At 42.7% G+C, this 18,558-nt stretch overlaps 1 protein-coding gene across 1 annotated transcript in view; it reads left to right on the top strand.

Moving 5' to 3' along the window:
- Window positions 1-3,783: 3,783 nt before the first annotated feature.
- ZNF98 (zinc finger protein 98) overlaps window positions 3,784-18,558 on the top strand; it is a 31,328-nt gene continuing 16,553 nt past the window's right edge. Inside the window, exon 1 of the mRNA NM_001098626.2 lies at window positions 3,784-3,935. Coding sequence (NP_001092096.1) covers window positions 3,906-3,935 — 30 coding nt within the window. The 5' untranslated portion in view covers window positions 3,784-3,905. The remainder of the gene's footprint in view (window positions 3,936-18,558) is intronic.

Raw genomic sequence — 18,558 nt, 5'->3', positions numbered from 1 at the left:
GCCGGAGGCGGTGACCCTGCTGCCTACCTCTGTCTGAAGTTGGGGTCCCTGGCCTCTGCCTGCACCTGGTGGACAGGGTGGGTGAACTGGTCAGGATAGGTTCTTGGCCTAGTACAGGGCCCTTCCCTGCAACTTGGGAGGCTCCAGTCATGGCTGGCCTGGGGGTTGCTCTATGTTGTGTCTCAGATTCCAGGAGATAAGCAGATACCAGGAGAGGAGCACATTCTGAAAGAGAAACGGAATTTTCCAACTCAGCTGAATCCTCGGCCCCTGCCCTTGAACACACATTCTGGTTTTCTCACCGAGTCCCTGCTTGCTCCTGCCCACCTGGCCGTCCCAGGCAGGTGATTGATGTTTCTGCCCCATGTGTGCTTTAGCTGTGAGGGTCACTGGTGGGACACTATTGAGAAGGCACTGAATCTGTCCTCATTATCTGGGATGTCACATGAAGTTCTTGGTCTCAGAGCCAATGAAATCAAGGGTGCGGACACTCCAAAGGTGAGGTTAGAGCAGAATTTTAATAAGCGAAAGGAAGAAAGCTCTCTGGCACAGAGAGGACTCCCAGGAAAAAGGATTGCCATTTTAAAGTGAAAAGCCCAAGAGATTTTATAAACAAGCTGATCGGGAGAGGTGCTTCATTTACATAAGGTGCGACAAACCAGTCAGGACTAGGTATGTCATTGTGTCCTTTGCATAAGGTGCAAACTTCTGACAGTCCCCACTCCAACGTGTTTTTTTGAGACGGAGTTTTGCTCTTGTTGCCCAGGCTGGAGTGCAATGGCGCAATCTCAGCTCACTGCTGCCTCCACCTCCCTGGTTCAAGCGATTCTCCTGCCTCAGCCTCCTGAGTAGCTGGGACTACAGGCACGTGCCACCACACCCGGCTAATTTTTTTATACTTTTAGTAGAGACAGGGGTTCGCCGTGTTAGCCAGGATGGTCTCGATTTCCTGACCTCATGAGCCACCTGCCTCGGCCTCCCAAAGTGCTGGGATTACAGCCTTGAGCCACCGCACCCGAACAAGCCCTAACTCTTAAATGAGACCATACGTCTTTTTATTTTAGCCCCAGTTCGGTTCATGGCATGTTTTTAATTTTGGGGGAATGCAACCTTTATTCCAGAAAATTCTTCCCCCACAGTAATGATCACCAATGCCAGGGCACCTAGCACAGTGCCTTGCACATAGAGTGCATTCAATGTGTATGGAACTGGGTTGATTCAGGAACAAAACCAATAGTAAAGTTGGTTCTGCAAAGAACAATAATTTGGTAATATTGGTAAGACTGAAAGGCCATGACTTAGGGACAAACATTTTTTCATTCATTTGAGAAATAATTTGCAACTAGGTCACTAAAAGTGTTGGTTTACAGCAGAGGCATTTGAGCTTGGCTGTACTGTCATCACCTAGAGATAATTAAACTAAACTGTTGCCCAGTTTCCACTCCAGGAATCCTGATTTAATTGGGGTGTGGCAACTTATGTTTGGGGGATTTTTAAAGACCCCCCCAGGTGATTTTTACATGCAGACTTGGGTGAAAACAATTGGTTCAGGGTGAGGGATGCATTCACTGTGTGTGATTTCCACGTGTGCTTCTGAGATTTGTCCCACGGCTGCTTCTGACTTTGAAATCTTCAACAGCAGCTCTGCTATTTTAAAAATCAAAATACAGGCCAGGCGGGGTGGCTCATGCCTGTAATCCCAGCACTTTGGGAGGCCGAGGTGGGCGGATCACCTGAGTTCAGGAGTTTGAGACCAGCCTTGCAAACATGGCAAAACCCCATCTCTAATAAAAATAGAAAAATCAGCTGGGCATGGTGGCGCACGCCCGAATTCTCAGCTACTCGAGATGCTGAGACACCAGAATGGCTTCAAGCCAGGAGGTTGAGGTGGCAGTGAGCCGAGATCACGCCACTGCACTCCAGTCTGAGCAACAGAGCCAGACTCTAAAAAAATAAAAAAAAAAAGTAAGAAAGAAATGAAATGTCTTCCTAGCAGGTCTGTCTATAGTCATTTGATTTTAAGGTAAGAGGTTGGTTCAGGCACAGTACTTTTAATCAGTGTTGAAAATCATAAATAGCCCACACGTATCAAAAAGCGTTTTTATTTTTTATTTTTTTTCTGAGATGGAGTCTCACTCTGTCGCCCAGGCTGGAGTGCAGTGGCGCGATCTTGGCTCACTGCAACCTCCAACTCCCTTGTTCAATCGATTCCCCTGCCTCGGCGTCCTGAGTAGCTGGGATTACAGGCACACACCACCACGCACAGATAATTTTTGTATTTTTAGTAGAGACGCGGTTTCACCATGTTGGCCAGGATGGTCTCAATGTTCTGACCTCATGATCCATCCGCCTCAGCCTCCCAAAGTGCTGGGACTACAGGTGTGAGCCACCGCGCCCGGCCAAAGTATTTTTATTTTTATTTCATTGAGACAGTCTCACTCTGTCGTGCAGGCTGGAGTACAGTGGTACAGTCTCAGCTTGCTGTGACCTCTGCCTCCCAGGTTCAAACCATTCTCCCGCCTCAGCCTCCCGAGTAGCTGGGATTACAGGGGCCCGCCACCACACCACGCTAATTTTTGTATTTTTAGTAGAGACGGAGTTTCACCATGTTGGGCAGGCTGATCTCGAACACCTGACCTCGGGATCCGCCCGCTTTCGCCTCCCAAAGTGCTGGAATTACAGGCGTGAGCCACCGTGCCCCGTGTGTTCCTTGTTTTTAAAGTTTGGCTAGTAGGAAATTTAAAATTCACATGTGGCTCACATTTTACTTAGAAGGATTGTGTCCTTTTAAAAACCTCAGGTTAGTTGGGCGCGGTGGCTCACGCCTGTAATCCCAGCACTTTGCGAGGCCAAAGCGGGCGGATCACCTGGGAGTTCAGCCTGGCCAACATGGTGAAACCTGGTCTCTAATAAAAATACAAAAAAATTAGCCGGGCATGGTGGCGCATGACTGTAATTCCAGCTACTCGGGAGGCTGAGGCAGGAAAATCACTGGAACCCGGGAGGCAGAGGTTACAGTGAGCCAAGATCGCGCCATTGCACTCCAGCCTGGGCGACAGAGCAAGACTCCATCTTAACACAAAACAAAAACTATCTCAGGCTGCCTGTTCAAAGGACCAGAGCCAGGAAGGTTATAAAAGCCGAAATTCAGGCTAGGTGCGGTGGCTCACGCCTGTAATCCCAGCACTTTGGGAGACCGAGGCGGGCGGATCATGAGGTCAGGAGATCGTAGACCACCCTGACCAACATGGTGAAAACCCCGTCTCTACTAAAAATACAAAAATTAGCAGGGCGTGGTGGCGCGCGCCTGTAATTTCAGCTACTCGGGAGGCTGAGGCAGAAGAATCGCTTGAACCCGAGAGGCGGAGGTTGCAGTGAGCTGAGGTCGTGCCACTGCACTCCAGCCTGGGCGACACAGCGAGATTCCGTCTCAAAAAAAAAAAAAAAGCAGAAATTTAAAAATAATTGTTATTCTATTCTTTCCATGTGTGAGCAGCCGTATAGTATATTATTTACAAATACATGAGACCTTATATACAAGGTTTAAGGCAAACACCCTCTGGGTGGGCTTAGCTCACCTCAGGGAGGAAGCCCTGCCTGAAAAGGGGGCACCTTCGGCTGTCAGTCTTTCTTCATTCAGCCCAGCATTTGGTCACATCTTCTGTCACTCAGGGCGTGAGGGCGAGGGATCTTAAACGTTAACAAGTCAGAGACGCTGGCCTGGGAACTGTCCAATCAGGCACGCGGTTGGAGCGGAAAGGGCGGCTTCCGGGATGTGGCGGGGTCTTTGTCTCTCGCTGCAGCCGGAGTTCCTGGTCTCGTCTTCGCCCTTCTGTGTCCTCTGCTCGTAGAGGCCCAGCCTCTGTGGCCCTGTGACCTGCAGGTATTGGGAATCCACAGCTAAGATGCCAGGACCCCTTGGAAGCCTAGAAATGGTGAGAGTGCCGAGTCCGACATCCCTAGAGAGGAGAAGGGGCTGGTTGGAACCGGTGGGAAGAGGCTGTGGCGGGACTCAGGCCTCCCCGCTGTCAGCTCCACAATCCGTGCCCCTAGTTCTCCTTGCCTAGCTCGGCCTCAGTCCCCTTCAGCGATAAGATGGCGGCTGCGCTGACAGCCAGGCTCCGGGCGTCCTGTCTCTTCCCTGCCCAGTGACTGTGCCCTGAGCTGGAGCCCTCTCTGGGCAGCTCTGCACGCGCAGTGCCGCGTCTCTCCCAGATTGTGCAGGGACCACGAGAGGGTCGTCGGCAGAATCCTGACTCGGGGTGCTGGGGGTGAGGGTTCATGAATGGAAAGAGCTTTTGTTTGGTTTATGGGGTTCCTAGTTCCTCTTTTCGCCTATTAAAAATGTATGGGAATTATCGCGACAGTACTTAAGAATTTAAACAAGGAGCGGTTCAAAAATTGTAGAGCTCCCAGCTATGGGTTGTAGTTTGTGGGCCATGAAAAGATCTTGAAGGAAAGATGCATGATGAAAATACCCAAATTCAGTAATCGGTTAGGTACATTTACGTAGTTTCTTAATTTTCACTTTAAGCCTAGAAATTTCCTGGTTGTGTAATCAGAACTTACTTGGCAGTTTATCATTTTTTAAGCCTGAATTTTGTTTCCCCCAATGTAGTAATTTCTATTAAAAAAATGCATTTGAGTTAGATTTTTTAAAATTAGGAATCCAGGGATTGGAGCCACCTCAGTCTATTTGCCGCCACGTGGGACTGATTTTCCCTTGCATGTTTCACATGGGTCCCAAGCAGGGTCTCAAGGCAACCCCCCACACCCCATTTCTGCAGCCTAACTCTGGCTTGCAGTAAAATACTGAATTTTCAGTTTCTTCTGAAAATCTCAAATGCCAACTTCCTCTCCCTAATTTACATTATTTATTATTTGTTTTTTAGTGTACCTTTTATATACCGTATTTTAATTAATCATTTTTTGACAAAGCATTAGATGGCATATTGAAAAAGATGTTTTCTCATTTGAAGGACCTAAATTTGTAGCAAATTCTGTGGGAGGTTTAAAAAGTTAAGCTGCTATAGTAAGTTACTGGGCATTCTCAGTATTTGAATATGGAACATATGCACAGGGGAAGGAAATAGCATTGCACTTTATAAACACTGTATTGTAAGTGGAAAATGCAATGTCTTAAATAAAACTATTTAAAATTGAAAAAAAGAAAAAGAAAAAGATATGTTTTCTGTTTGTAAGTATTTCCCATGAGAAGAAAGCAAAGAATAATCCCCTGATAGTGAATTGTAAAAAGTCTCTGTGCCTCTTTTTCTTTTGTCTTCCCTAGGCACAAAGGTCTTATGATAATGTTTTAGTGTCAAGATGTTTTTATTTTGCAAACGTTATGGAGTGATTTGTCCTCAGCAACCCTGTCGTTTTTTCTTGTTCCTGGGTTTTAGTACTGTCTCTGAATAAACCAAGATAACTGCTGTGGCTATGTCTGCTAGAGTATCTAGTGAATATCAGCTCCTAAGTCGTTTTCTTTCATAGGACAACCTGAGGTAGGGAGTGCAGCCTCCCCAGTGGATACCCTGGGGAAAAGATGGAATCTCTTGGTGTACTCTTCCTTTGAAAAGCTAACCCCTTGAGACATTACAATTGTCTTCACCCAACCCAGCTTCCATTTCTTGGAGACAGATTGCTGGTCCACCAATCACATGCTGATATTGAGGGGAAAACAGAAATAATTTCTGCCCCCTAAATGCTCTAAGATTTGTGAAAGAAAAAATAGTATCCCAAAAGACAAAAGAAAGAAAAAAAACCTGACTTCAGTGAGATAGTACAAAAACTTGCAAAGTAAAATACACTTGGGGCACTCACTTGAGCATAGTGCACTGTCTCCTAAGAGAGTGGTCACTGAGCACTTAAGTGAGCAGGTTGGAGTGGGAGAATCTCTCAAGTGGTTGGATGATCTGAATTGACCCATGAGTCAGACACATCTGTTTTCTTTCTTTTTTTCTTTTTGAGACGGAGTCTAGCTCTGTCACCCAGGCTGGAGTGCAGTGGCGCGATCTTGGTTCACTGCAACCTCCGCCTCCCACGTTCAAGTGATTCTCTTGCCTCAGCCTCCCGAGTAGCTGGGACTACAGGCATGCACCACCACACCCAGCTAATTTTTTTTTTTGGTATTTTTAGTGGAGACAGGGTTTCACCATGTTGGCCTGGTTGGTCTCGAACTCCTGACCTGGTGATCTGCCTGCCTCGTTCTCCCAAAGTGCTGGGACTACAGGCTGAGCCACCGTGCCCAGCCTACACATCTAATATCACTTCATTTTATTGCAGGGTAAATTTGTGACAGTGAATATCTCTGTTCTGTATCCTGTTATCTTGACTTCTGAGTTTCATGCTTAATTTTATGAGATAAAACTTGGTACCTCCTAGAAATGGTCCCATATGACTAATTGTTTACTACATGATTTTTAATGGAAATAATAAGACATGTATTGTCTGAAAGGAATTGATACTTTTGCTTTTCTTATTGAGGTATAAAATTAAAGCGCCTTATAATTTCATCCCCTTATATGAACATTGTGTTTAAGTAATGTTGCTGAATTTTTCACACACGTAATTTTGAAAACCAAGTTAGTAACTCTGACAATGGAAATCAAAGCATGAGCCTAGTGACTCCAAGCTAAGGCTAATTAATATTGAGCCTACAAAAGAAGGTTATTAACGGCCCAATTAGTTTTTTTCTGAAGAGCCTCTCTCGCAGATGTCCCAGCCTGCTCACCCCCAGCCATGGAAGAAACCTTTATAGTGAGAGAAGCTACAGAGCCCTGGAAAACTGGGGCCCCACAGAGAGATGCAGTTAAGGTTAAGAAGGAAAAGAACTGGCAGGATTCTTGTGAAGATGAAGTTATTGTTTTGAAGCAGTTTCTAGACTATTTAAAATAAACCAAAGTTAGATTAATGTAAAAATTGAATTCCAAAGGAGTATTGTAACAGAAAGAAATGCCTACTATAAGATCTTTAAAAATTGCAAGTTCAGGCAGACAAGGAAGGAACAAACAAGATTAGAACGAAAGTGGGAGGGAAATGGCAAATGGAGGGTGAAAAAGTTAGATTCTAGATTAATGTTTTACCTCGAACTCAGCATGTCCTTAGGAAGGACATAAAATGCGGTTGTATTTCGACTCAGATTGAGTGTAGCTGAATGTTAAGGAGCCTATGGGGCGGAGATAAACTTAAGTGAAGTTTGATTAAAAAGTATTTTATTTTGACCACTGAAGAAAAATTCAGCTTTTTTTTGAGGCAGAGTCTTGCTCTGTCACCCAGGCTGCGGTGCAGTGGTGCGATCACTCACTGCAACCTCTGCGTCCTGGGTTCAAGCGATTCTCCTGCCTCAGCCTCCCAAGAAGCTGGGATTACAGGCACCTACCAAAATGCCTGGCTAATTTTTTTAGTATTTTTAGTAGAGGCGGGGTTTCACCACGTTGGCCAGGCTGCTCTCGAACTCCTGACCTCAGGTGATCCACCTGCCTCAGCCTCTCAAAGTTCTGGGATTACAGGCGTGAGCCACTGCTCCCAGCCAGCTGATTTTTTAAAATTAGAAGAAGAAGAAAATGTGCACAGTCTTTGTTTGGCTATGTGATAGGTAAGAAAAAAGAGCACCAACTAAGTCATAATGGAAAGCATGTTTCTTTCCATAAACTGTTTCTGGAGAACACAAAGGATAGAGAATTTTATTAATCACAGCTATTTACCAGGATTATCTATGTGCTTCATCTTTCCCCATTTTTTTTCTTTGTCTTATACATTTCTTACATTTGACTCTTTTGGGGGTTATATTTTTTATAAGCTGGTAAATGTAACTACAGTGTTTTGCTGAGTTCTGCGAGTAGCTCTATCAAATTATGAAACTTGAGGGAGGTTACAGGAGTCCATAATTTTTAAACAGTAGCTCAGAAGCATAGATGGGCCTATGGGGTTTGTGACTGGCATCTGCAATTAGGACAATATTGTGAAAATGAGCCCTGAATCAGGGTCTGTGCTGACTCTGGGTGGTGTCAGAATTCAAATTCAAATGTTAGACAATGAGTTGGTGTTGGAGAATGTCTTGATGTTCAGCAAACTCTACAGATTTGGTACAAGAAAAAAGATACCACAGAGGCCTGGCCTGGAATAAAACTCTGGGTGTCTGGGAATGGGAGGCTCTACTCTCCTGTACACAGGCTGTCACACTGCCCATTGTCCTGTGATTCCAGGTCTCCCAGGATGAGAGAGGATCCAAACTTAGAGTAAAGAAACTCTGACAGCAGACCCCCTTTTCCCACAGCTGTAACCACAGGATTCCCTCTCACTCACGAGCATACCCACTAGATATTAATGTGTCCAGACCTCTCCCAGGACTAGGCACCATGCTGAGAAATTTTACAACAGCATTTTTGATTCTAGTGTTTCCTGGCAAAAACCTACAAAAGTGTCTACAAGTCTCCTGGCATATCCCAACCCCCAGACACTGAATCTGCAACAGCAAACTGTTTTCCCCACCAACTGAGGGTTCTGGACCACCTGTTCATAATCTCATCTGCTTGCATAAACACAAAAATCCATCAGAGTATACCTCTACCTGAGCCGCTATCTGTAGCACAAACCAGTTCTTCCACCTGCATTGCACTGTTTCCCACTCATAGATTTTTATTCTTTTTAACTTTTATTTTTGGTTCAGGGGTACACATGCAGGTTTGTTATACAGCTAAAATTGTGTCATGGGGGTTTGGTGTGCAGATTATTTTGTCACTGAGGTACTAAGCATAGCACCAAGCAGGTACTTTTTCTGATCCTCTTTGTCCTCTAACCTCAACTACGCCTCAGTGTCTGTTGTTCCCTCTTTGTTTTTATGTGTTCTTATTATTCAGCTCTTACTTAATTTTTTTTTTTTTTTTTTTTTTTTTTTTGAGATGGAGTTTTGCTCTTATTGCCCAAGCTGGAGTGCGATGGCGCGATCTTGGCTCACCGCAACCTCCGCTTCCTGGGTTCAAGTAATTCTTCTGCCTTAGCCTCCCAAGTAGCTGGAATTACAGGCATGTGCCACCACGCCTGGCTAATTTTGTATTTTTAATAGAGATGGGGTTTCTCCATGTTGGTCAGGCTGGTCTGGAACTCCTGACCTCAGGTGATCTGCCTGCCTTGGCTTCCCAAAGTGTTGGGATTACAGGCGTGAGCCACTGTGCCCAGCCTCAGCTATTACTTAGAAATAACATGCATTTGGTTTTCTGCTGCTGTGTTAGTTTTCTAAGAGTAATGGTCTCCAGCTTAATCCACGTTGCTTCAAAGGACATGATCTGTGTGTGTGTGTGTGTATGTGTGTGTGTGCATGTTTTAACGGCCACACACTATTTTATGATAATTTATGTACCATATTTTATTTATTTGAGATGGAGCTTCTCTCTTGTCTCCCAGGCTGGAGTGCAGTGGCACGATCTTGGCTCACTGCAACCTTCGCCTCCTGGGTTCAAGCGATTCTTCTGCCTCAGCCTCCAAGTAGCTGGGATTACAGGTGTGCACCACCAGGCCTGGCTAATTTTTATATTTTTAGTAGAGACAGGGTCTTGAACTCCTGACCTCAGGTGATCCACCCGCCTCAGCCTCCCAAAGTGCTGGGATTACAGGCGTGAGCCACTGCACCCGGACACCATACTTTTTTGTTGTTGTTGTTGAGACGGAGTCTTGCTCTGTCACGCAGGCTGGAGTGCAGTGGCGCGATCTCGGTTACTGCAAGCTCCGCCTCCCGGGTTCACGCCATTCTCCTGCCTCAGCCTCCCCAGTAGCTGGGACTACAGATGCCCACCACCACGCCCGGCTAATTTTTTGTATTTTTCGTAGAGACGGGGTTTCACCGTGTTAGCCCAGATGGTCTCGATCTCCTGACCTCATGATCTGTCCGCCTTGGCCTCCCAAAGTGCTGGGGTTACAGGTGTGAGCCACCACGCCTGGCCCATACTTTATTTTTCTTAAATTTTTTTGTTTTGTTTTGTTTTTTTGAGACGGAGTCTTGCTCTGTTGCCCAGGCTGGAGTGCAGTGACACGGTTTTGGCTCACTGCAACTTCTGCCTCCCGGGTTCAAGCTGTTCTCCTGCCTCAGCCTCCCGAGTAGCTGGGACTACAGGCACCTGCCACCACGCCCAGCTAAGTGTGTGTGTGTGTGTGTGTGTGTGTGTGTGTGTGTGTCTGTAGTTTTTTTTTTTTTTTTTTTAAGTAGGAACGGGGTTTCACCATGTTGGTCAAGCTGGTCTCGAACTCCTGACCTTGTGATCCACCTGTCTTGGCCTACCAAAGTGCTGGGATTACAGGCGTGAGCCACTGTGCCTGGCCTAAGCCTTTTATTTTATTTTATTTTTGAAGACAGGTTCTCACTATGTTGTCCAGACTGGAGTGCAGTGGCATGATCTCAGCTCACTGCAGCCTCAACCTCCCAGGCTCAAGCAATCTTCTTTTACTTTAGCCCCCCACATAGCTGAGACTGCAGGCACACACCACCAGACCTGGCTAATTTTTTTTTTTTTTTTGTATTTTTTGTAGAGATGGGGTCTTGCCATGTTCCGCTGGGTGGCCTCAAACTTTTGAGCTCAGGCAGTTTACCTGCCTTGGCCTCCCAAAGTGCTGAGATTACAGGTGTGAGCCATCATGGCCAGCCATACCATATTTTCTTTATCCAGTATACAGTTGAGAAGCAGTTAGGTTGATTCCATGTCTTTGCTATTGTGAATAGTACTGCAATGAACATGCGTATGTCTTTATAATAGAATAATTTGTATTTTACTGGGTATATGCCCGATTTTGAGGTTGCTGGGTCAACAGGTAATTCTGTTTTAGTTCTGTGAGGAATCGTCACACTGCTTTTTATAATGAACTAATTTACACTCCCACTGGTATAAGCATTCCTGTAACCTTGCCAGCATCTGTTACCTTTTGACTAATACTAGCCATTCTCACTGGTGTGAGATGATATTTCATTATGGTTTTTCTTTGAATTTCTCTAATGATTAGTGATGAGCATTTTTTATATGCTTGTTAGCCACATGTGTGTCTTCTTTGAAAAAAAAATCTTTTTCATGTTTTTTGTCTACCATTTAGTGAGGCCTTTCTTTTTTCTGTAAACTTGTTTAAGTTTCTTATAAATTATGGATATTGGACCTTTGTCAAAAGCATAGTTTGCAAATATTTTCTTTTATTCTGTGTGTTGTTTGTTTACTGTGTTGATGGTTTCCTTTGCTGTGAAGAAGCTTTTTAGCTTAATTAGGTTCCATTTGTCAATTAGTACTTTTGTTGCAATTGCTTCTGGTATCTTTATTTTAAAATTTTTGCCGGCTTCTGTGTCTAGAATGGTATTTCATGGATCTTTTTAAATATATAATTTGAAGTTTTACATTTAAATATTTAATTTATCTTTAGTTGATTTTTGTATATGGTGTAATGAAGGGGTTCAGTTTCAATCTTCTACATAGTGCTAGCTAGTTATTCCAGTATCATTTGTTAAATAGGGAATTCTTTCCAGATTCCTCTTGTTAGCTTTGCCAAAGACCAGATGGTTGTAGGTGTGTGGTATTATTATGGGCTCTCTATTCTGTTGTATTGGTCTGTGAGTTTGTTTTTGTACCAGTACCATGTTGCTTTGTTTACTGTACCCTGTAGTATAGTTTGAATTCAGGTAATGTAATGACTTCAGCTTTGTTCTTTTCGCTTATGATTGGCTTGGCTATTTGGGCCCTTTCTTGGTACCATATAAGTTTTAAAAGTTTTTTTGTTTTGTTTTGTTTTTTTAGTTCTGTTAAGAAATGTTTTTGGTAGTTTGATAAAAATAGCAAATCTAATTTTTTGACAGTATGACCATTTTAATAATATTGATCTTTTCTTTCTTGCTTGCTTTCTTTTTTTTTTTTTTTTTTTTTTTTGAGATGGAGTCTTGCTCTTCACCCAGGCTAGAGTGCAGTGGCATGATTTTGGTTCACTGTAACTTCTCCTTCTCGGGTTCAAGCAGTTCTCTGCCTCAGCTTCCCGAGTAGCTGAGATTACAGATGCCTGCCACCACGCCCGGCTAATTTTTGTATTTTTAGTAGAGATAGGGTTTCACCATGTTGGCAGGCTGGTCTTGAACTCCTGACCTTGTGATCCAGCCGCTTCAGCCTCCCAAAGTGTTGGGATTATGGGTGTGAGCCACTTTGCCTGGCCAATATTGATCTTTTCTATCCATGAGCATAAAATGGTTTTCCATTTGTTTGTGTCATCTCTGACTTTTTTTTTTTTTTTTTTTTTTTGAGACGGAGTTTTGCTCTTTTTGCCCAGGTTGGAGTGCAATGGCACCATCTCTGCTCACCACAACCTCTGCCTCCCGGGTTCAAGCGATTCTCCTGCCTCAGCCTCCTGAGTAGCTGAGATTACAGGCATGCGCCACCACCCTGGCTAATTTTGTGTTTTTAGTAGAGACGGGGTTTCTCCATGTTGTTCAGGCTGGTCTTGAACTCTCAACCTCAGGTGATCTGCCTGTCTCGGCCTCCCAAAGTGCTGGGATTACAGGTGTGAGCCACCGCACCTGGCCCATCTCTGACTTCCTTAAGCAGTGTTTTCACAGTGTTGTCATAAAGATCTTTGACCTCCCTGGTTAGCTATAGTCCTAGATATTTTATTCTTTTTGTAGTGATTGTGAATTGGATTCCGTTTTTCATTTGGCTTTTGGCGTGCATGTTTTTGATTTACAGGGATGCTACTAATTTTTGTACATTTATTTTGTATTCTGAAATTTTACTGAAGTTGTCAGTTTGAAAAGCTTTTCTGCCGAGATTATAGGGTTTTTCAGGTACGGCATTATGTCATCTGTAAACAGAAATAGGTTTTGACATCCTCTCTTCCTGTTTGTATGCCTTTTATTTTTTTATCTTGCCTAATTGCTCTGGCCAGGACTTCCAGTTTTATGTTGAATAGGAGTGTTGAGAGGAGGGGCATCCTTGTCTTGTCCCAGTTTTCAAAGAAAAATGATTCCAGGTTATGTGTATTCAGTATGTTGTCTGTGGGTTTGTGATGGATAACTCATTATTATTATTTTTTTTTATTTTTATTTTTATTTTTTATTTTTTTGAGACGGAGTCTCGCTCTGTCACCCAGGCTGGAGTGCAGTGGTGCAATCTCGGCTCACTGCAAGCTCCGCCTCGTGGGTTCACTCCATTTTCCTGCCTCAGCCTCCTGAGTAGGTGGGATTACAGGCACCCGCCACCACGCCTGGCTAATTTTTTTGTATTTTTAGTAGAGACGAGGTTTCACCATGTTAGCCAGGATAGTCTCGATCTCCTGACCTCGTGATACTCCCGCCTCGGCCTCCCAAAGTGCTGGGATTACAGGTGTGAGCCACTGCGCCCCACCTCGTGTATGTTGAATTAACCTTGCATCCCAAAAATAAACCCTACTCGATCATAGTCGGTTAGGTTTTTGATGTCCTGCCCAATTTGGTTTGCCAATATTTTGTTGAGAATTTATCTTTTTTTTTTTTTTTAAGATTTTACTCCTGCAATTCTTGATCTTTTGTATAGTTTTTCATGTGAAAATCTCCTTCCGTTCAGAAATGATTTTGGTTATTTCTTGTCTTCTGCTAGCTTAGGGGTTGATTGGCTCTTGCTTCTCTCAGCCTTTTACTTATGATGTCAGGTTGTTAAACTGAAGTCTAACTTTTCAATGTAAGCATTTCATGCCATAAATTTTTCTCCTAACACTGCCTTAGCTGTGTTGCAAAAATTCAGGTATGTTGTATCTTTGTTCTCATTTTTTTCAAAGAACTTCTTGGTTCTTGCCTTAATTTCATTATTTACCCAAAAGTAATTCAAGTGCAGGTTGTTTAATTTCCATGTACTTGTATAATTCAAGTGATTTTCTTTGTATTGAATTACTTTTTTATCAAGCTGTGGCCTCTGTGTGTGGTTCATATAATTTTGGAATTTTTAAATTTGTTGAGGATTGTTTTGCTTCTGACTGTGTGGTCAATTTTAGAGTATGTGCCACGTAATGATGAGAAGACTGTATACTATGTTCTTTTTAGATGGAGAGTTCTGTAGAAATCTATTAAGACTGTTTAGTCAGGTGTTGAGTTTAGGTCTTAATATCTTTGTTAATTTTCTGCCTCAATAATGTGTCTATTAGTGCCCATGGGTGTTGTAGTCTCCCACTATTATTGTGTCAGTATCTCATTCTCTTCATCGGTCTCTAACAACTTGATTTATTTGTGTGCACCCATCAATTTATTATAACACCTTTCTCTCTTCTGCGTTTTTACCATAAACATTCTTTCAAGTTCACAATTCAGATGTCCAAGAGTTCAAGAACATGTCCAGTGACCTGGTTGTTTTAGGAGAAAATGCAAATTAAAAATAAGAGGCTTTATTCACATATGTGAAAATAAGGGAGGATATTTTGTTTATCTCTGTTTTATTAACGCATTTAGATTATATGTAGATATTTTTCTCTGCTTTTTTGAAATATATGTAAATTATATTAACAGCTAAGTAAACCTTTTATCATTCTTTTTGACTCAGAATTGTCTTTATTTGTAACCTGAGATTCATAGCTTTGTTTTTGCTTTGGCAAAGATTTATTTTTTTAATTTTCGGTCATTAAAAGTACGCACAGATTTGTTCAGAGTAAAGCTCATTTTAAGAGCACATGAAAGTTGGACACAAAGGTAGAATTAAATTTAACAATACAGAATGATAAAGACTAAAAGATACAGAGTAAGTTCCTTTGACAGAAACTTGATTATCCAAGGTAATTATTTGCAGGCTGAAGTACTTACAATGCAAAAGCAAGGGCTGGGTGCGGTGGCTCACACCTATAATCCCAGCGCTTTGGGAGTCTGAGATGGGCAGATCATTTGAGGTCAGGAGTTTGAGACCAGCCTGACCAACATGGTGAGATCCTGGCTCTACAAAAAAAATTAGCCAGGCATGGTGGCGCATGCCTGTAGTTCCAGCTACTCGGAAGGCTGAGACAGAAGAACAGCTTGAACCTGGGAGGCAGAGGTTGCAGTAAGTGCAGATCTCGCCACTGCACTCTAGCCTGGGCAACAGAGCGAGACTCAATAAGTAAATAAATAAAAATAAAAATAAAAATAAATGCAGACTCAGTCAGATATTGCTACTTTCTGTTTTCTGTGTAAACTTTAAAAAGCCAACAAAGATTATGATACTTTAAGATGGAGGTTGGTTGTCATTTGTTTCAGAAGTAATTGTGTTGTGACAAGAGTGCCAAGTGTAAGAGACTCTGTGCTGTGCCTGCTCTCTAACTAATGCTAATAATGAGCCTAGGGGGAGCAACATCAGCCTTGACGGGACTTATTTAAAACACCCACTCATGGACCCTTTCCATACCTGCAGAATCACATTACATAGAGTGAGACCAACATTACCAAGTGATTTATAAGCTCATTAAAGCTTGAGAGGCAGTGCTTAGTTAATGTGCAGGTTTATTACATACGTATATGTGTGGCATGGTGGTTTGCTGCATGTACTGACCCTTCTAGGTGCCCTCCCCTTGCCCCCACTTCACAACAGGCCCTGGTTTGTGTTATTCCCCTCCCTGTGTCCATGTGTTCTCATTGTTCAACTACCACTTATGAATGAGAACATGCGGTTTTTGGTTTTCTATCCCTGTGTTAGTTTGCTGAGGATGATGACTTCCAGCTTAATCCATGTTCCTGCAAAGGACGTGATCTCATTTCTTTGTATGGCTGCATAGTATTCCATGGTGTGTATGTACCATATTTTATTTGTCAAGTCTGTCATTGATGGGCATTTGGGTTGGTTCCATGTCTTTGCCATTGTAATTAGTGCTACAGTAAACATACGTGTGCATGTGTCTTTATAGTAGAATGATTTATATTTCTTTGAGTATATACCCAGTAATGGGATTGCTGGGTCAAATGATATTTCTGGTTCTAGATCCTTGAGGAATCACCACACTGTCTTCCACGATGGTTGAACTAATACATTCTCACTAACAGTGTAAAAGTGTTTCTGTTTCTTCACAGCCTCACCAGCATCTATTGTTTCTGACTTTTTAATAATTACCATTCTGACTGGTGTGAGATGGTATCTCATTGTGGTTTTGATTTGTATTTCTCTAATGATCAGTGGTATTGAGCATCTTTTCATATATTTGTTGGCTGCATAAATGCCTTCTTAGAAGTGTTTGTTCATCTTTTGCCCACTTTTTTTTTTTTTTTTTTTTTTTTGTGAGATAGAGTCTCGTTCTGTCTCCCAGGCTGGAGTGCAGTGGCGCAATCTCTGCTCACTGCAACCTCTACCTCCTGGGTTCAAGCCATTCTTCTGCCTCAGCCTCCTGAGTAGCTGGGACTACAGACATCCACTACCATGCCCAGCTAATTATTGTATTTTTAGTAGAGGCGGGGTCTCACCATATTGGCCAGGCTGGTCTAGAACTCCTGGCCTTAAATGATCTACCCATCTCGGCCTCCGAAAGTGGTGGGATGACAGGTGTGAGCCACCACTTCCAGCTTTTGCCCAGTTTTTGATGGAATTGTTTGTTTTTTTCTTGTAAATTTTTTAAAGTTTCTTGTAAATTCTGGATATTAGACCTTTGTGAGATGGGTAGATTGCAAAAATTTTCTCCTATTCTGTAGGTTGCTGGTTCACTCTCATGATAGTTTCTTTTTCTGTGTAGAATCTCTTTAGTTTAATTACATCTTATTCTTCAATTTTGGCTTTTGTTGCAATTGCTTTTGGCGTTTTCGTCATGAAGTCTTTGCCCATGCCTATGTCCTGAGTGGTATTGCCTAGGTTTTCTTCTAGGGTTTTTCTGGTTTTGGGCTTTACATTTATGTCTTTAATCCATCTTGAGTAAATTTTTGTATAAGATGTAAGGAAGAGGTCCAGTTTCAGTTTTCTGCATATGGCTAGCCGGTTTTCTCAGGACCATTTATTGAACAGAAAATCCTTTCCCCATTGCTTGTTTTTGTCACGTTTGTTGAATATCAGATGGTTGTAGATGTGTGGTGTTATTTCTGAGGTCTCTTTTCTGCTCCATTGGTCTGTATGTCTGTTTTTGGACCAGTACCATGTTGTTTTGGTTATTGTAGTCTTGTAGTATAGCTTGAAGTCAGGTAGTGTGATGCCTCTATCTTTGTTCTTTTTGCTTAGGATTGTCTTGGCTATATGGGCTCTTTTTTGGTTCCATATGAAATTTAAAGTCATTGTTTTTTCTAATTCTGTGAAGAATGTTAATGGTAGTTTGATGGGAATAACATTGAGTCCATAAATTACTTTGGGCAGTATGGCCATTTTCATGATGTTGATTCCTTCTATCCATAAGGATGGGATGTTTTTCCATTTGATTGTGTGCTCTCTTACTTCCTTGAGGAGTGGTTTGTAGTTTTCCTTGAAGAGGTCCTTCATATTCCCTGTTAGCTGTATTTTTATATATTTTACTTTTTGTAGCAATTGTGATGTTTATTTACGATTTGGCTCTCTGATGGTCTGTTGTTGGCTTATAGGAATGCATGTGATTTTTGCACATTGATTTTGTATCCTGAGACTTTGCTGAAGTCACTTATCAGCTTACGGAGTTTTTGGGCTGAGATGACAGAATTTTCTAAATATAGAATAATGTCATCTGCAAACAGAGACAATTTGACTTCCTGTTTTTTTATTTGAATACTCTTAATTTCTTTCCCTTACCTGATTGCCCTGGCCATAACTTTCAATACTATGTTCAATAAGAATGGTGAGAAAGGGCATCCTTGTCTTGTACTGGTTTTCAGAGAATGCTTCCAGCATTTTCCCATTCAATATGACATTGACTGTGGGTTTGTCATAAACACACTTACTATTTTGAGATATGTTCCATCAACACCTGGTTTATTGAGAGTTCTTAACATGAAAGAAAGTTGAATTTTATCAAAGGCCTTTTCTGCATCTATTGAGATAATCATGTGGTTTTTGTCTTTAGTTCTGTTTATGTCATGAATTACGTTTATTGATTTGCATATGTTGAACCAGCCCTGCATCCCAGGGATGAAGCCGACTTGATTGTTGTGGATCAGTTTTTTTGTTTTGTTTTGTTTTGAGACAGAGTTTCGCACTTGTTGTCCAGTGCAGTGGCGTGATCTCGGCTCACTGCAACCTCTGCCTCCTGGGTTCAAGTGATTCTCCTGCCTCAGCCTCTCTAGTAGCTGGGATTATAGGCATGCACCACCACGCCTGGCTAATTTTTTGTACTTTTAGTAGAGACGGGGTTTCTCCATGTTGGTCAGGCTGGTCTCGAACTCCTGTTCTCACGTGATCTGCCCGCCTCGGCCTCCCAAAGTGGCGGATTACAGGCGTGAGCTACCGCGCCCGACCTGGTGGATGTTTTTTGATGTGCTGCTGGATTTGGTTTGCCAGTTTTGTTTTGTTTTTGCTTTTATTTTTATTTTTTTGAGACAGAGTCTCACTCTGTCATCCAGGTTGGAGTATAGTGGCATTATCTCGGCTCACTGCAACCTCCGCCTCCCGGGTTCAAGCAATTCTTCTGCCTCAGCCTCCTGAGTAGCTGAGACTGCAGGCGTGAGCCACCACA

This window comes from Homo sapiens, chromosome 19, assembly GCF_000001405.40.
Source record: "Homo sapiens chromosome 19, GRCh38.p14 Primary Assembly".
Taxonomy (NCBI): domain Eukaryota; kingdom Metazoa; phylum Chordata; class Mammalia; order Primates; family Hominidae; genus Homo; species Homo sapiens.
Note: the sequence above shows the minus strand (reverse complement) of the source record. Positions and strands in the feature narration are given on the sequence as shown.